This window comes from Homo sapiens, chromosome 6, assembly GCF_000001405.40.
Source record: "Homo sapiens chromosome 6, GRCh38.p14 Primary Assembly".
NCBI classification, from domain to species: domain Eukaryota; kingdom Metazoa; phylum Chordata; class Mammalia; order Primates; family Hominidae; genus Homo; species Homo sapiens.
In genome coordinates, this window is record NC_000006.12 from 14,646,420 (window position 1) to 14,665,605 (window position 19,186).

The 19,186-nt window shown below is 42.4% G+C and overlaps 2 long non-coding RNA genes and 1 pseudogene across 5 annotated transcripts in view, besides 2 other annotated features; 2 read left to right on the forward strand and 1 right to left on the reverse strand.

Annotated features, from left to right (window-relative positions):
• LOC101928354 (uncharacterized) overlaps nucleotides 1-19,186 on the reverse strand; it is a 131,186-nt gene that overhangs the window by 60,116 nt on the left and 51,884 nt on the right. Inside the window, exon 1 of one of the 3 annotated variants that reach the window (XR_007059472.1) lies at nucleotides 5,028-5,133. The exons of the other annotated variants lie outside the window; for them this stretch is intronic. This is a non-coding gene — a long non-coding RNA (uncharacterized LOC101928354). Of the gene's footprint in view, nucleotides 1-5,027; nucleotides 5,134-19,186 lie in introns of those variants that run through there. 3 annotated transcript variants of the gene reach the window in all.
• RNU6-793P (RNA, U6 small nuclear 793, pseudogene) lies at nucleotides 116-219 on the forward strand (annotated as a pseudogene).
• LOC102724463 (uncharacterized) lies at nucleotides 12,732-18,844 on the forward strand. 2 transcript variants are annotated; one of them, XR_926514.4, is made up of 3 exons: nucleotides 12,732-15,431; nucleotides 15,790-15,902; nucleotides 18,627-18,844. It is a non-coding gene; the product is annotated as an uncharacterized LOC102724463 (long non-coding RNA). The 2 variants fall into 2 exon arrangements; XR_001744001.2 differs by lacking the exon at nucleotides 18,627-18,844 and having other exon boundaries at nucleotides 15,790-16,092.
• Nucleotides 14,776-14,855: an enhancer, noted in NCBI's record as "active region_24052". NCBI's record gives its function as "activates an Ori minimal core promoter by ATAC-STARR-seq in GM12878 lymphoblastoid cells {active_cell/tissue: GM12878}" and the evidence as "EXISTENCE:reporter gene assay evidence [ECO:0000049][PMID:35858748]".
• Nucleotides 14,946-15,065: an enhancer, noted in NCBI's record as "active region_24053". NCBI's record gives its function as "activates an Ori minimal core promoter by ATAC-STARR-seq in GM12878 lymphoblastoid cells {active_cell/tissue: GM12878}" and the evidence as "EXISTENCE:reporter gene assay evidence [ECO:0000049][PMID:35858748]".

A 19,186-nucleotide genomic window follows, 5' to 3' on the forward strand; every position in this document is an offset into this window, starting at 1 on the left:
AAATTAAAAATAAAAGGATAGGTAGAGCTAAACAAATTAAATGTCATGATACAGATAACTGGCAGAAATAAGACTTGGTGTATTACTTAGCAAAAATCCTTAAGATCCTTTTACAGTGCTCACTTTGGCAGCATATGTACTAAAATTGGAATGAAACAGAGATTAGCATAGGGCCTGCACATGGATGACATGCAAATTCATGAAGCATTCTATGTTTTTTTAAAAAATCCTTTTAAATCCCTCACCCATTTATTTAACATTCATCCATTCAATGTTCTCATTGTGTCATGTTATGATCATGTAGTCCTTTTCCTAAGAACATACTCTGTATGACTATATTATATTTTTGGCAAAAAGATGAATCAACCCTTATCCGTTTATCATTCAACATTCATTCATTGACTTCCCACCTCAAGCCATGCTATAATCATGTAGTCCTTTCTTAGGAATATACTTTTCCTATATATCATATGATATTTTATTTTGTTTTGCTTTTGGTGGTGGGGAGGATGGTGTATATCAGAAAACTTTCCATATTGGTTTGAGTGACTTAGCAAGAAGACACTTCCACGGCTGAATCCATTTCATTCAATAGCCAGGCAGCGAATGTAGACTCTTAGGGTTATAGAGACCTTGGAAGTGATCTCCCCAAGCTCCTTGCAGGAAAGACAAAGAAGTTATGGGCCCGACATGGTGGCTCACACCTGTAATCTCAGCACTTTGGGAGGCCAAGGTGGGGGGATCATGAGGTCAGGAGACCGAGACCATCCTGGCTAACACGGTGAAACCCCATCTCTACTAAAAATACAAAAAATTAGCCTGGTGCGGTGGCACGCCCCTGTACTCCCAGCTACTTGGGAGGCTGAGGCAGGAGAATCACTTGAACCTGGGAGGCAGAGGTTGCAGTGAGCCGTGATAGCGCCACTGCACTCCAGCCTGGGTGACATAGTAAGACTCTGTCTCAAAAAAAAAAAAAAAAAAAAAAGAAGATACGTTACTCCTGCAAAGTAATCCAGCTGCTACATCATGGAGCTGGAGCAATAGCCCAGGTCTCCTGGCAGTGGATTCAGCGTACATTCCGCTCCTTCACACTGCTGGGAATTCCAGTGTCTTACATTTATCTTCTCATAACAAAACACAGTCTGCTCTCTCCAACTTGGCCCTGGTGCTGAGGACGTCTCTGACATCCCTGCCACTCTCATCTCTGAAGGAGGATGCTTGGCTCCTCACAGTGCTATCAGCTCCCCCACCCCATCTGTGTGCATGAGGACTGAGTCCCTGTGAGGCAGAGGGTCCTCAGGCTGGAGCAGCACAGGACACGCCAGGAACAGACGGGCCAAACTGGTCTTTTTTTTTTTTTTCTTTTTTTTTTGAGACAGAGTCTTCCTATGTCACCAGGCTGGAGTGCAGTAGCATGATCTTGGCTCACTGTAACCTCTGCCTCCTGGGTTCAAGCCATTCTCCTGGCTCAACCTCCCAAGTAGCTGAGATTACAGGTGCCCACCACCACGCCCAGCTAATTGTTGTATTTTTAGTAGAGATGGGGTTTCGCCATGTTGGCCAGGATGGTCTTGATGTCCTGACCTCGTGATCAGCCCTCCTCGGCCTCCCAAAGTGCTGGGATTACAGGCATGAGCCACTGCGCCCAGCCCCCAAACTGGCTTATTTTCATTGCTTACTTGGGAGTAAAATCCTTCCATGCCTGGATCCTTTTCTTTTAGCCCCTGATACTGGCAAAATAGTTTCTCAAAGGCCTGGCTTGAGAAATGGCCATCCTCCCGCTACCCAAACCCCATTTTTCTCCAAGGTGCTTCTCTCTCCCCATTGGCAAAGCCTTCAAGTATTTTTCTGGTCAACTCAACTGCATACTGCAGTGCGTGCTCCAGATCTAAATCATGCATGCAGTCTGGTGAATTATAAGCTCCTGTTACTCCATTTCTTCAGCCTAGGTTGAAACTTCTTTCAGCTCTTCAAGGCTCCTGGAACTCAAGATCCACCCCTTCTGGCCTCTTTTAACAATTCAGTCCACGTTACCTGTGCTCTGCCAACCAGAGTCCTTCAACTAGCCTTTTTCTTGGTCTCTTCTTTTCAATGCCATGAGCCAAGCTCTGTGTGTTAGTTTTAATGGCTGTTCTCAAGGGCAAGTCACCCCCTGTACTAGTTTCCTGTAGCTACTATAATAAACTACCATAAATTTGGGGGCTTAAAAACAATAGAAATGTGCTCCTTCACAGTTCTGGAGGTCCAAAGTCTGAAATCAAGGTGTTGGCAGGACCATGCTCCCTTGGAAGACCCTGGGGAGAGTTCTTCCTGCCTCTTCAAGCTTCTGGTGGCCCAAGGTGTTCCTTGGCTTGTGGCTGCACCATTCCAATCGCTGCTTCCATCTTCACATGGTCCTCTCCTCTTCTCTCTGAGTGTTCTCCTCTTCTGTCTCTTTAAGGACAGTTGTCATTGGATTCAGAGCCCATCCAGATAATCCAGAGTAAACTCATCTTGAGGTCCTTAACTTAGTTATCTCTACAAAGACCCACTTCCCAAATAAGGCCACACTCACAGATTCTGGGGGTAAAGATCTGGACATGTCTTTTGGGGGTAGCCACCATTCAGTTCACTATGCTCTCTTCTAGTAATGCTGTTCACCCCTATGCAGAAGTTGAATTATTGTAGTTTGGATATTGGATGCTGGATGTTTGGTTGGCATCAGAGGTACAAGATGAATGAGGCATGCTTCCTACCCTACAGAAGTTCTTCATCAGGTAAATCAGACACAAGTGCAAATAGGTCATTATACTACAACATAACAGATGCTATTTTTGTATAGGAAAAGTCCCATCACTCATGAATTCTATGGCCCATTTCCCTGAGAATTCTCATATTCCAAGCAGTGTCACCTTCCTTTTTGTTCATATGTCACTGAATCTGCTTAATCAGAAAAATGAATACTGGTGGGGAAATGGGGGTGGGAAGGGGGACAAGGGAGATTTATTCCCTGGAGAAGTCTCTGTAGGCAACATATGTCTGTCTGAATATTAGGAATAAGAGTAGACATTTGACAAAAACACTACACTGGGAGTATAATGCTTCTGAGGTCTGAGCAGAGAGCATCTCAGAGTCAGAAACAGCTCACACATGGACAGAAGTGATGGCTCCCTGAAAAGGCCTCCATGGATTTGCGCACAAATCGACGACCACTTGGATGGACGCCAAGAAGCAGCCTCACTCCTTCACTCTTGAGTTGTTTAAGCATTTTAATACTTTACTCATGCGGGGCTGTATCTGAGACCTGTGTGAAACCTTGCATGTTTAGTACTCCAGATAGGAGATGGGTTGGTTTAAAGACAGGGAAACAAGGCCAGCACTTCACTTCAAGACCAGTCATCCTAGCATCCTTTCCCAAATGTTCTATGTAGCGAGGAGGGTGGGGTTGTGCAGGACGCTATTCAGGATGATAAGGATACTGGGTGGAGAGAAAGCAAACAATGCTTTGTGCAGTGATTCTATGATTCCTATCTCACAACAGAGATTCCTTTCTGAGGCTAAAGTCTTCCATAATCTAGGGGGCAAACTGTGGATAATGTTCGGCCTTGAAAGCTGGTGCCTACAGGCATCAGGGAGCTGGGTAAGAAGACAATGTGCAAATTGGCTGGAATAGTGAGATTCAAAAATAGAACTCAATGTTGTTTACTACAGTGAGTCCTACACTCTACTTTTTAAAAACATACATGGTATCTTGTAGTAAAATGAATTTTCTTATGATTATTTTCATAGTTGAGAGTCACTGAATAAGATTTAGATGAACCATCTGAAACGAGCCTTTATCTTGTGTCCTGCTATTATCTTTCAAAAAAGGATTGCATCCTGGAAGAGAGTTTCAAAATAGTTAGCAAGAACCCATCAAAGAAAGTTCAAAGCACAGCTACAAAATTGTCTAGAAAGCCAGGCTTTGGTGACTCTGCCCAGTAAAGAACTTTTTCTGCATGAGATGCATGGCAGTTGAAAAATACCATGTTGCCAATTCTAATCTCCGCTCTTCAAAATGACTTCTGTTAAGTTCTGAGTATAACATTTTGACAAATAAGAACAATAATAATAATTGTTATACCATCCCCAGTACTATAAAGGATAATACCTCCATCTACCTGATTTTACTGCCGAAAAATATTATGAAGGGAGTGAGGAGTTGACCTAGCCAACTGCTAGGTTCTCTCAGCCTACACTTTAGCCAAAAGAGGGCAATTTGTGCTGACCCTATCTAGTCCTTGAAGTTCAGGGTGACTCCAGTGAGACATGGCATTACATTATAGAAGTGAGTCTACCACACACACAACAAAAGCTTCTGATTCATTTATGCTTCCTAATTCAGTCTATTAGAAAAATCAAGAAACTCTATCCTTCAAAAAATAGAGAGAAATGCACGGGTAAATTCTGTCTACAGATCTCATTTAAGAAGTCAGTGTTATGATGCACTGTTAAGCATATACAGTCCCCTTTGTTCTTCCAGGATTGATTTTTTCACAACGTTTTAATAACAAACATTTCATGAGGGCCTACTATGTGCCAGGCATTGTGCTAAGGATTAGAGATGGGGAACGTAGAATACTGAATAAATTAGAATATAATGTGATAATCGATATTACAGGAGAACATTCAAAGTATTGTCAGAGAAAAACCTAGTAAGATGTTCCTTAAATTTATAAGACAGAGAAATAAAATAGAAATAAGGATTAAAATATAAGCACTCTAAGCTGTTGACTGAAGGAGCCGGATCTCTTGGTCCAGACATTCTAAACGTCTGTGAAAAGTTTCTTCCCTTTTGTTCCTGATTAGAGTGAGCTCTTTTTAGTTTCCATAGCTTCTAAAGTCATCTCCTATCGCCCAGCTCTTAAATGGCAAACTGTTTAAATTTAGCAGTCTTTATGTGCAGGAAAAGCCAATATAATCCAAACCTCCTGTTTAAAATTCCTGGAAAGTAAAAGCCAAATCTTTCCCACCTCGCAGTCTGAACCGATCACATTCTGTATCCATACCCGTATCAGATGATTGTTCAGAAGAATACCAATTAGAGCCCCTTAGAGGTTGCATGTCCACCCCCTCCACTGATGGACTACTCCTTCGACAATACCCCTGGTGGATGATCTGCCGCATCTATTTTCCCACTTGCAATGGAGTGCTCAGGGCTTTATGTGGCAGCCTGCTTCATCGTTGGCCAGCCCTAGTGATTAAAATCTTCTTTATGACATCAAACCAGACTTTCCTTCCTGAGAACTCCCACCCATTGGCACTATAGCTCTTCTCTATAGCAGACTAAAAGAAACCACTGGAAGGAAAATTTAAGGGTGTCTTATTCAGTCAACAACTAACAATTGCAACTAGAAGACATTTCAAAAATGAATTCAAGGAAAGATCAAATAGACTATAAAGAAGAGGGAGAATAAAATGAAGTGGCTTCCTAACCAACGCTTCTCAATCTTGTATTCAGGACATAGCAAATACAGGGGGGAAAATATCCGTAAGACACACTGATGAAAATGTGGAGGATGTGTACAGCCAGAAAGGACCAGCCTGGGGCCTGTGACCAGCCTACATGTCCCTGCTGCTCTAAGCTGAGCCAACTGTGTCCTCTCCACCATCCAGGCCTGCCCCAGGAAAAGGGTTCCAAATTTCAGTTACACCAGTGCAGCTGCCCTGCCCTGAGCGAGATATGGGCACGGCAAGAACAAACTGCAAGAAGGCCCCACTGGTCAGTCCATTTTCACCTTATGTAGCAGGTTGAATGGAGGCCTCCCAAAGATATGTCCACATCCCCAAACCCTGAATCTAACTTTATTTGGAGAAAGGATCTTTGCAAATATAATTAAGAATGTGGACATGAGATCATCCTCAATTATATAGGTAAACCCTAAATCCAAAGACAAGCGTCCTTATCAAAGACCCAAAGAGGAGAGGCTGACGGAGAGAAGAAGGCCATGTGAGGACAGAAGCACAGATGGGAGTGGGGCAGCCATGAGCCAAGGAACATTGGGAGCCTCCAGAAGCTGGAAGAAGCAAGGAAGGATTCTCTCCTGGAAACCTCTGAGGGAGCGCCAGGTCCTGCTAAAACCTTGATTGCAGATCTCTGCCCTCCAGATCTGTGAGAGAATACATTTCTGTTGTTTTAAGCCACCTAGTTTGTGTTGATTTGCTACAAAAGCTCTGCAAGACAAATATACCTTAACTTGTTTTCAAGGACAAATTACATCCTTAAGGTCCAGAGAGCCAAATCATACCATTATCAAACTTTCTCACAGGTTTCTTTTATTTTCTCATGGGTCATACCTCTGATTAATCAATTGGTCAACAACCATGCTTAAAACCTACCAAACTGGTCTAGCAAGGAAAAGAAAATGGAACCAGAAAAGATCTCTAAACATGTCCTTAAGGTTTTCACTGGAATTCATTATTAACATACAAGTAATACATCTTTGGGGTTGTCTGTCCTCAACAATTTAATCTCCTTTCTCTGAAAATCATACCCCACCGTCGTAGGATTGAGCCCTAAGACATGTTTGAACACTTGACCCCCTCCTCACTCCCCACTAGACTGGTTATAATTGAATGGATCGGGGTGCACCTTGACCCAAGCTGGACCAATTACATTTTCTCTCCTGGAAATTGGAATGAAGGTAGTTAGGCTAATGGGGCTGGTTGGGTGCTAGAGGACAAGTGAACTCGGCAGCTTAAAGGAGGCCATCTCCTGCATTTTTACAGATGCAGAAAATCACTCTGGAGAGAGAAGAATAGGAGAAATGCCAGAGAAAAACAAAGATCAGAGACAAAAAGAAGGTCCTCTCTGGGTCCCTCATTACTCCCCAAGCCCTCATTATAGTCTCTCAAAAAGCCCTATAGCACTAAGATTCTGTGCCACACACCAATGTCCTTCCTGCCCCTTCTGTTTGAGTGACAGGTATATCTATTTATCTGTCTTCATATCTCTAAAGATAGCTATGTATCTACACTTATATGTAATACATATGACATTTCTTAACCAGGCACAAAATAATTTTGAATCTAAACACTTAAGGAACTTTTAAGCCTTGCATCCTTGTTTCAAATAAATTGTTAATTTTATTCCACCCATTATCCATTAAATTAGAAATTAATAGGTGTTTATTGCATGCATACTAAGGATGATTCTGAAGAATTTTTTGAAAGTCCTTTCTTTCCCTTGAAGTCTTTATATTCTAATTAAGATAAAATACACACGGTGACCTAGTGCTCCATATCTCACCTTGTCATAATTACTAGTAGTTTTCAACCTTTGTACACTGAAAATTTCTGTATACTCCATCCATTCACACATTGTACATTGACACCTCTCAACCAGTTCTTGTATGCCAAATTCAAATCTGTATAAATCAGCTGGAAAATGAACATTCGGAGCTATTGCATGATGGTGCTGTCAGCCAACAGTTGAGTTCGGGTGATGTTGCCATTTTTGTCTGAACAGCAATGTTTCTGCAATTAATTGAAAATTTTTATTGCGTTTTCCCCCTATGGTTTTATAAAAATAAGTGGAGAAATGGAAAAGCTCTGAAATTTAATTCTTATGAACTTAACACCATCAAGATAAGCTGAAAGTTGAGCAATCTAATGTGGATTTAAAGCTGCGAAGGAAAATAACAAAACTAAGAAACTTTTATGAGATGCTGTAACTATTCCTTGATAGACTGGATCTGAAAGCAGAGGTATGATTAGGGATTTGATCTTTTTTATAGCCTTTTAGGAAGGGAATTCCTTCCTCTTCTATTGTTCTGCTTTCACACATTCCTACGAGCTGGAAGTTTTCAGGAAGTCTTTGCCTATTAAGGTAGTGACCTGCCATGGTCAGTACAGGTGTGGGTCGGATCTTGACACAGTCTTCCACTCCTATGTATTTCTGAAGCTTCAGGATAAGGTCAGGAAGGCACTTTCCTTGGGCTAACTCTCCTACCCCCGAATTTTATAATTCATTCATCATGTCTTCCTGCTGTAGTTCTACAATTAGCGCTTTGGTCTAGTCCAGTGGTTCTTAATCAGCAACACTTTTGCCCCAAGGAGACATCTGGCAATGTCTGGAGGCATTTTTGATGGTCACAAATAGCAGGGGTTATTCCTGGGGTTTAGCAGGCATCAGCTAGGGATGCAGCCCCCCACCACCGTGAATTATCTGGCCCAAAATGTCACTAGTGCTGCCACAGTTGAAAAAACAAACAAACAAACAAAAGAAACCACTAGCTCCTAAACTCTGCTTTTAATTTCTATTTTAAAATTCCTTGACTCCAACTGACTCACATCTCTCTGGATCATGGGTTGTATTAGTCTATTGCATCGCTATAAAGATACACCTGAGGCTGGGCATTTTATAAATAAAAGAGGTTTCATTGGCTCATGTTCTGCAGGCTGTACAGGAAGCATGGTGCAGGCATGTGCTCCTGGTGAGGGCCTCAGGAAGCTTCCAGTCATAGCAGAAGGTGAAGAGAGAGCCGGTGCATCACATGGCAAGAGCAGGAGCAAGAGAGACCAAGGGGTAGGGTGTGCCACATTCTTTTAAACAACCAGATCCTACCCACACCCTACTCTTGAACTCAGAGTGAGAGCTCACCCAGTTTTTGGGAGGACAGCACCAAGACATTCATGAGGGATCTGCCCCCCATGACCCAAACACCTCCCACCAGACCCCACCTCCAACATCAGGAGTCACATTTCAACATGAAATTTGGAGGGGACAAACATCCAAACCCTATCATAGATTTTCCTAATTGGGGTGGTGTAAGTGACTATGCACATAGAGATGGAGATGAAATCAGAAAGAAACTGAGTAACAGCCGTTATTCGCTGAGTATTTACTTCAAGCCAGCCAAGCACATTACCATAGGTAATCCTCCTAACAGCCCTAAGAGGTAGGTCTACTGTCATCCTCATATTACAGATGGGAGAGCCAAGGCTAAGAAGGTTAAATAACATGTACAAAGTCACAGAGGTCTTTAGAGACTGAGCCAGGATTGGAAATCAGGCAGTCTGACTCAAGAGCCGGAAGAACAGACTAGGTAGATGAATGAAAAGCCAGAAAAACAGATAAGGTTCCAACACAAAACGTAAAAGAAAGGAGAAAAGGAGAACTAGGTAGAGACACACATGGAGCAGGTCCCGTGGGTCAGGAATACAGTTCACACTGGATTCCTCAGGGTTCTTTATGCCAACGCAGTTGAGAAACAGCAGTTCCGAGCACTGAGACTCGAATCTCAAACCTTGGTTCCCGCTGCAGCCCTGCTGTTTTAACGCTGTCCCACCGTGGCTTTATCATTGCATGTGGAGAGACTTTTCCCCCCGCTCAGACTCATTAAATTCTGTTAACCAGAACTCGTTTCATGCAAAAGCTGCAGAACTGTGAAGAGGAGCTGAAAGCATGTGGTATGTTTAAATATGCTAGAGCAATATGCTGACCAGCGAGGTTTGTTTATTAAAATTCTTATGCGGGGTGAAGCTCAAATGAGCTTATGTCAGCTAGTTCATAGAGAGGCCCTGTTTTCAAGATTAGGCTGCTGTTTGTCTTCTTTACGGAGCTGACAGAGGACATTCTGGAGAATATAATACATTATGCCAAAAACATCTGTATTATAGAAAATCAACAATGAAGAGCAACAGCTCCAAATGGAGCTAGTACTTTGAAAGGCGTTTATCTGTCAAGAGATTAAACTGCTATTTTCATCTACGGAGGAAACTAGAGGAAGTGTAAACCAGTTTAAGAACAGCAGAAACTAGCCTACTTTTTTCTGCCAAGTTATTTTTGCACATTCAGGAAGACACAGGATGGGTTTTTGTTTTGTTTTTAATCAAACTGAAGAAAATACTTAGAGAGCTATCTTTTCTCAAATCAGAGTACTCAGAGCTGAATGTTTTCCTTATTCTTTTCCCCATAGAATATATGCCTCTGAATGAGACCCAATGGATGAAAGGGGTTTGCTTCTCACAAGGAAGTGGCCTCTTACCGTCCTATTTTAAAACCCCAGAGTGTCACAGGCTTACTCAGATGAGACAGGTCGCTGGCAAACAAATGATATTTGTCACCAATTCCTGCATCAGGGTAATGAGAATAATAAGAAGAAGTGCCTAACATATATTAAGCATTTTCTATCACTAGGTGTTTTATTATACATTCATTATTTCATTTAATCCTCACATCTCTATGAGTTGGGCACCAAAATGATCTACTTTTTAAAAAATCTTATTAAAGTATACCACACATACAGAAAGTTACACATATTTTAAGTATGAAACTCAATGAATTTCACACTCTGAACTGGCCCGAGTAACCATCACCCAGAACAAGACACAGAATACCTACCTCCAGGCCTCTCATGCCTCCATCCAGCCGCACCCCTCAGGGGCAAGCACTATCCCAACGTCTAATCACATAAAGTCGTTTCCCCAAACTTTCAACTTTAAATAAATGCCATTTTACAACTTCCCCTTTCATATCCAGCTTCCTTCACTCAACATTATGCTTGTAGATTCATCCATATTCTTGTGAGTAGTTGTATTGTGCTGTTGTACTGTGGATTGTGTATAGTTATAGATTATTAATCCTTACAGTTGTAGAATATTCCATTATAGAAACACACCACAATTTATTTTTTCTATTTTATTGATGATGGGTTTGCGACCATTTGAAGGTTAAGGTTAAGGTTTAAGCTTAAGAATACTGAGACCCAAGATGTTAAAAATAACTTACAAACCTAGTAAATGGTGGATCCAGGATTACAACTGAAGTTGGCTTAACTCCAAAGCTCATGCTGTGAAGCACCATGCTGCACTGTCTTTCAGAAGAGCAAAGCTTGCAGGGACCTCTCCTTGATGGGTCGAAAGGTCTTTTGTACAAATAATTTGGGGGGCCCGTGGGAAGAAGATATTTGAATAACGTGCCACAAGTCCAAATCCACCACCTCTACAGAGCTCTTTGCCTTTGGGCATGTCTCTTTGCTTCTGATTCCCATCACTTTTTCTCTTTTCTTTTACTTTGATTGACTGTTCCAATAGCCCTATCAGCATTGTGGGACTTAACTGAGTAGCAGAGCCTGGAAACACCTCATTGCATCTGAAACCTAGAGAAGACGCTGGATGTAAGACACATACTTACAGCAACAGCCACTGACAAGGTGAGCACTCTGATGGATACCTGAGTGAAGAAGAGTATGGAGCGTGTCCAAATTCAGTGTACGTGTACATTCTAACTGGTGTGTTGGCTCACCTGTCTTCCTCTCTCTCATGTTTTTCCTACAAATAGTTGATTATGCTGATGCCAGATCATTCTGATGATAAGCATCTATTTGGCACATCCAGTAAACTGATCCATCATAAGGATAATTGTATTCGAATTAGCATTCATATTTTTTACATGCTTTTAGGAGGAAATGGAAAGGAAAGGAAGAAAAATGATACTTTCAAGGAATCACTTAGAGATAGAGGAAATATCAATATTTGAGCTCTTCTAACGGTTTGCTCTCTTCAAATGGATAGAAATCCAATGAAGAGGCTCTGCTCAGCTCAGTAAAGACAGAACACATCTTAGGCAACCTTTTCAGCCCAAGCTTTGGATTTTTCCAACCCTCACAATCAGAAGTGACTGTGGTTGGACTGAGGAGAGCAGGCTCAGAGAAACTCAGGCAAACCTCAAGGAACACTTTCAGCCCAGCTCTCACTCACTGCATCTCAGCCCAGCTCTCTGGTGTTTTCCTGCAGATGGGCACAGAATCATGTGCCTAGTAGGTTATCTGGCCAGTTGACAACTGATCATGCAGCAAATGCACGATTACTGTAGGCCAATGAACATTGCTTGCTAAGATGAGAGAAATCACTGGATCAGCTGAGGTCTGAGCCAGTGTGTCACTTCTATAAATACTGTTGCGGTTTCCAGGTACAGCACCAGAAGAAACCCATCTTTGCTTTACAGAGTCTCTAGATCCTTGTCTTCTCTTCTGTGTCCTCTGATGGAAGGAAGAGGCTGCCAGCACCAACTACCTTCAATTGCCAGGGCTGCTGTAACAAAGTACAATAGATGTGATGGCTTAAACAACAGAAATGTATTGTCTCACAGTTCTGAAGGCTGGAAGTCCAAGATCAAGGTTTAGGCACGGTGGCTTCCCTCTGAGGGCTGTGAGGGAAAAATGTATTCCAGGCCTCTCTTTGCGGCTTGCAGGCGGCCATCTTCATATTCGCATTGTGTTCTGTCTATGTGTGTTTCTCTCTGTCCAAACTTGCTTTTTTTTTTTTTTCTAATAAGGGCACTAGTTATATTGGATTAGGGACCAGCTTCATGATCTCACTTTAACTTAATTGCCTTTGTAAAGAGCCTATCTCCAAATAAGGTCACATTCTGAGGTTCTGGAGGTTAGGACTTCAACATATGGATTGAGGAGAAACACAATTCCACCCGTCGCACCGACACTCACAAAAATGTATTCTCTTCTCCTCAACACACAGAGCTTAACCCTCCCCAGACTCTCTAGGGTCCACACTCTATAAGCTCTGGTCTCAAGTAAATAACCTTATCAAAAAGGAGGAGGTGTACTTGACATGGCCCCGCTGTTCCCATTGCTTTGTGGTCTTCTAGTATCTCTCACCACAGAGAATGATGTTTGGGCTGCCAAGATCCCCTGAGGCCAAACGACTCAGAGGCAGTCCTGTAACTTCCCCTTCACGTGCCTGGTGGCCTCATTCCAAGCCTCTCTCATCACAGATGCAGGTTCATCCCTCCTTCCTTTTGAGGATTGGACTCCAGCTCCCTTCTCCTCTTCCGCTGCCCTGTGAGCAATCTTTTAAGATCTCACTCAATTCATGTCTTCTGTCACAAGTGCTTCTCACTCACATCTTCAGAACAGAACAGAACAGAACAGCATCTTGTTCCAGTTTGTTTTACATGGTTTGACAAAGGAAGAAGGACAAGCATTTCCTCTTTCCATCTGTAATTTCTCCGTAGCTCGCCTAAGCTGCCACTGACAGCCCAGGTCAATGCCTTGGTTTCCTGGGGCTGCAAACTTCTCTTCCAGGAATCCTAGCTTGGATGCTGCTGCCAGGCAAGGAGAACTGGAATGGCTTGCTGGCATGAATCTTAACCCATCCCTCTTTTCTGGAGGGTACAAGAATCCAGGAGATTTCATCTGCAGCTAAATGAGAGGAGAATCAATACTTGATTTTCACTTTCCTGCATACAAATCTCACTTAAAACATTCTGTTTTGTCTCTGGTCCTATTTTTCATGGAGTCTTTTTTTTTTTCACTTTTAATTTTGAAAAGCTACTTCATATCCCCCTCAGAATTCATACAAATTCCTCCTGTTCAATTTAAAAGCAAAATCAAATTGCTGGAAGTCACTCACATAGGTAGAAAGGAAGAGATAACGCTTTTGAGAATGACTTGTAAAGGTATTTAAAAATATAACACTTGTCCTCATTTCTTTAAAAATGTGAAACTTGAGGATTTCTTCTGAGAATGTTGAGGCTGTGAATGGATGGGTGGATAGATGTGTTTCCATTAAGGGACTGGGAAACCATCTGCAATACCTGGCTTAGTCCTCCTAGGGGACAAATAACATTCTAGTAATAACTCAGGTGATTAGGGAAGCACATACATTCTTTCAAGATGAAAAGTCACTCTTTACAGCACTATTTGCTAACAGATATAATTACTATCTGCAATTAACTGATGAAAAACTATGGGGAAGAAAGAGAATGGATGTGCAAGTGCCTAGCCCCACCCCAAGACATAACTCTCAATACATGTTTACATTATGCAAATCTTAATTGGTATTGAAAAGTCAAAGACAAAGGCGGAAACAAAACGCCTACTTGCTAAGCCAGTGAAATTCATTTCATTAAGCAGCCTGGTTTTCCACATCAAAATATAAATGTGTCTTGCTCCAATTAGTAGATATCATGCAAAAACAAAAGAGTTCAAAATATTTGGATATATACTTTTGTAATTCCTTCATGCAATAAATATTTACTGAGCAGTTGTTATGTGCAGGCAACGGAAGTAAAAAGATGAATGAGCTCAGGATGCTAAGAAACTTGGAGTCTGATAAGAGATAAGGAAAAATTTTTAAAGGCAGTTATGGTATAGGAGCATGCAGGCAAGTCACCTAACCCAGTCTTGGAGGGTAGAAAAGGTTTGAAAGGAAGTGCTATTGAAGCTGAAGCCTGAAGCTAGTCAGACAGGTTGCAATAATCTAGAAGAGGAAAGAAAACAGCGAGAGCATAGGCAGGAGAAATAGAGGAAAGTCATCAAATTAGAGATTTAGGAGAGAAAATCGACAGAATTTTCTAATGGCTATTCCCTTGTGTGTTACAGATTATGATACAGAATAGAGAAGAGGAGCAAATGCAAAGATGATTCCTTTGACAAGATGAAAAACGGTACTCTAATACACCTGCTTTGTAAGTCTCTATTTTCACACATAGCAGGCTTGTTTACAGCTGGCTAAAGATCTGCTGCACAGCAGCACTGACCCCACTGCATTCTTTCTACACCAATAAATTTCCTCTGCTGCCTCATTCAGATAGCCTAGCTGCTGTTTAGAGTGAAATTCTTCCACCTTCAAGCAAGAATCAGAGGTTCTTTCAGGCTTCACACAATAATATGATGAAGAGGCACGCTGAAGGTGAATAAACACTAATTTGTTTGCGTGTGAATAAGGCATCATTTATGTAGCAACTTCTACAGATTGGGTACTGGAGATTTTTCCAAAACGAATAATGCTCCTGCTTTTGAGCTTACAATGTAGTAGGAAAGATAAACAGAGTGTGATAAGTGACATCATAAAGGCACAAACAAATTCCTGTGAGCACAAAGTGGAAAGCCCCTGAGCTGGAAAATAGCACTGAGGTGGTTTCATGAAAGAGGAAGCAGCAAGGCTGGGCCTTGAAGAACGTGAAGGAGTCACCCAGCTAGAGAGGGCAGGAGGGTGTTCCACGAAGTACAAACATCATGAACAGAAAGTCAAAGAGTGAAAGTGAAGGGAGGATTGGGGAGCAGTGAACAGACAATGTGAGAGAGCTGCGGCACCATGGAGAAGAGTAATGAGAGGGACATCCTGAAGGAAAGACAATATGAAGGACTGTCGATGCCAAAGAAAGGACTTTCAGCCATATGCACGCAATGGGGAGCAATGCAAGATTGTCAACCAAGAGACTGAGGTGACCAGATCTGCTTCACAGCAGCAGCAGCAGCAGTGTACATGGAAGATTAGAGGACCGAGAGAGATGCATGTCAGGAAAATCAGCTAACAGACTCTAAAATAACTAAGACTTGAGAAAGATCTGGATCAAAGCTTTAACAGCAGCAATAAAGAAAAAAGAAGAGACATTTCTGTAATCAGATCTAGAAAAGTTGATGACCCCCAGGATAACAGCCATGAAAGTGAGAAGTGCAGGACACAATGGTTTAAGCTTGGAATCTCAGCCACTCCGAAGTCGCTGAGGCAGGAGAATCACTTGAGCCTAGGAATTTCAGGCTGCAGTGAGCTACCTACAGTTGTGCCACTGTACTCCAGCCTGGGTGACAGAATGAGACCCTGTCTCTTAAGAAAGAAAAGAAAGAAAGAAAGAAAAGAGAATAAGAGTGTCTAGGGTTTCTAACTTGGCCATTTTATCGTTAAGGGAGATAAGTCAAGAATAGGAAAAGAATGTGCATACTGGGGAAGACCATGTACACTAAAAAGCAGAGCTTGTCATCTGTGCTGACTCCTTTTTTCTTCTTGTCTTCTCTACTTCTCAAGGTGCTGCTACCACAAACATGAGGAAACTTCTGTTAGGAGTTCAACCTTCAGAGAGGACAGCTGGCAGTGCAAGATGGTGACAGCCCTGCAATCAGGAGAAGAAAGTCATGAGAGTAAGGAATGATGGAGAGGGATGAGAGCGTTTTCTAGGATTTGAAGAGTTAAGAGACTCTGAATAATTGGCAGGGGAAGCTGGGATGGAGAACAAAGTAGGAGAAGAATCATTTGCTGTGAACTCTGTATTTGGATTCCATTTTTGATGATCTTTGAAAATGGGAATAAAGGATTTGGGTTATTTTTAAATTCCTTTGGAGGCTAGACAGTTTCCCTAAATTCAGCATTCCCTTTGAAACTAGACCGCATGAGTCTCTGGTTTGTGCAGGGTTACCCTGGGTCAGAGTTGCCTCTAGAATAAGCAATGGGTAAGTCCTTGAGCTGTTGGAAGCGCATGGAGTGCCTGACAGTCTTCTGCACATTAGGCATAGGGGACCCTTTTGGGGGAAGAGGATGAAGAATAGGAGGGGTGATGGGAGCATGTTGGGTTGTGCCAGTTTAAAGAGAACGTGAAAAAGATAAGCAAGCAAATGAGGCTGCAAAAGAGGAATCATGGGAGAATGAGGAAAATTAAGTGATCATAGCATCCCTGAGGTCAAAAGAGCAGGGGTTTCAGGGAGAGTGCCAGGGCATTAGTTAATACAAAGAAGAGACCACTGGCTTTGCACCCTGGAGGTCAATGCTATCCTCTTCCTAATCCATTACTATAGAGTGATGGGGACCAGCGTTTGTGTATTGAGGAGATAATGAGAAGTGTAAATGGAAAACAACCAGAAGATAACAAGGATAAACAACTCTTTCAAAAATATAGTCACAGGTCACTTAACAGGACTACATTCTGAGAAATGCACTATTAGACAATTTTATTGTTGTGCGAACATCAACAGAGTAGCTTACACAAACCTAGATGGTGTAGCCTACTAGGCTAGAAGGTGTAGTCTATTGATCCTAGGCTACAAACCTACACAGCATGGTACTGTACTCAATACTGTAGGCAACTATAACACAATGGTAAGGATTTGTGTACCTAAATATACCTAAACATAGAAAAGGGCTAGGTGCAGTGGCTCACACCTGTAATCCCAGCACTTTGGGAGGCTGAGGCAGGCGGATCACCTGAGGCCAGGAGTTTGAGACCAGCCTGACCAACATGGCAAAACCCGGTCTCTACTAAAAACACAAAAATTAGCTGGGCATGGTAGCACATGATTGTAAAATCTCAGTTACTCGGGAGGCTGAGGCATGAGAATTGCTTGAACCCAGGAGCTGGAGGTTGCAGTGAGCAGAGATCACGCCACTGGACTCCAGCCTGGGCAACAGAGCAAGACTCTGTCTCAAAAAATAATAATAATAAATTAAAAAAATAAACATAGAAAAGGTACAGTAAAAATATTGTATTATAATTTTATGGTACCACCATCATATATGCAGTCCATCATTAACTGCCACATCATTACATGGTACATGACTATATTTAATGGCTTAAAAACACAGAGATGTGCAAAATCATTTATGTCCAAGGGTTATTTGTCATAAAAACATAATGTACATAACAAAACTTGGGACAACCTAAAACACCAATACAAGGTATTGGCTAAATTTTAAAAGTGTTTTAGAGAAGCGTATTTAATAGAAGAGGAAAATGTTCACTGTTTAAGTGAATAAAACAAGATACAAAAGGCATATACAGTATGAGTTCAATTTTTTTCATCTATACAATACAGGCATAAAAATATTAAAATGATATATATTTGATAAACTGATAGGTAGATTTCATTTTCTTCTTTGTGTTATTCTGTATTTCTCTAATTTTCTGAGTTCATTTGGATGCTAAAGAATGTCTGTTTTTTTACTTAGGAAGAGAGTGGTTTTTCTGTTTGTATATTTTGGTATATTTTGGTTTGAGGTTTCGGTGGTTTTTTGTTTTGTTTTTGTCTTGAGTGATAGTACGTATATGAGATCATGTACAACTACCTACTGTTGCTCTCTTCCACTGGGATGTTTTTGATGTAATGGCTATGCATCTCGGCCTTGGGGGGCCTAGTGCAGCCTAGTGCAATGTCAAAGGGGCTGTCACCTGGTTCTTGCTGCCACCTGCCTGTGCAGGTGGCTGCTGAGGCAGCCTTTGGCCCACAGGTCCCCTGAGACATCCTTTGCCTCTGTCTGCCTTCCTGGCCCACTGGCTCTCCTGACCAGTCTAAGCACAGATGAGTGGAGGGCGGGGGGAATCGTCCTGGCCTGGCCTGTGCCACACTGGGGCTTGGGAGTTTCTGCAATGTCTGCTGAGGCCCCCCGCCCCCATCCTGGTCTGACTCTGCAGCCAGCTCCAGGAAGTAGAATGCAGGCTACTCTCTCCATAAGATCATGCTTTACCCACTGTCTTTCCTTCTTTCTTAACCCCAGGGAAACCTCATCTAGATTTGAGGATGAGGACGGGTGTAGGGAGCCAATCTCATCCTCTGACATTTCTCCCTAAGGGCGCAGTCCTTTGAAACACGTGTAAGTCAGCAAAAGGCACCCAGGCTATTTGCTTTCCCTCCTACCACATCCGTCCCCTGAGGCAACAAGCATTAGATGGCCTGGCTGCTTTGGGGGAGGGAGGGGCTGGCAAAAGGAGAATGATGGAGCTGGAAGGAGAGACAGAGTAGCCCTAGGTTAACCCTTCAAAACCATTATCCTGATGTGCAGATGTCGACAGAAAACAGCAAGCCTCTCAGTGCCAGCCTGCGTGCTGGAAGTGCACATGCATTATTAATTCACTGGGACATTTTTACCCTTTCCAGCCTGTTTCTCCAGGTTTCCCGCCTCCTTCCACCTTCTGTACAGGACACACCAGTTCCCTCAAGCCCAAAATGTGAGCAGCTGTCATTCTCTGCATAGCCAAGCTCGGCAGTCTGCCGAAAGGGACAAGCCAGTCCCGCAAAGGAATGATGTATGCCAAAAGATACTGCATTAGGATCTTCATTAACTGGAGGGCCAATAAATTTATGAAAATCATGAATCAGTTAATCCATTCCTTACGATGAATAGCTAATTAACATGAGGACAGGGCCTGACCCTTCTATTCATCTCTACTCACTCCTGAGCTTCCTGTTACAGACAGGCTCCAGGGCAGAAAACAGAACCCACATTGGCTAGCGTGTGTTCAGGTGGGTCCCCATGGGGCAAAGCCGAGGGGATGGACTAAACACAACCTTCTCTTAATGTTGGGACTTTCTCTGAGAGTGCATTCTTATTTCTAACTTTTCATTATGAAAATAGTCAAACACAAGTGTAGCAAGGTCTTACAAATTTATGGGGCCGGGTGCGGTGGCCTGTAATCCCAGCGCTTTGGGAGGCCAAG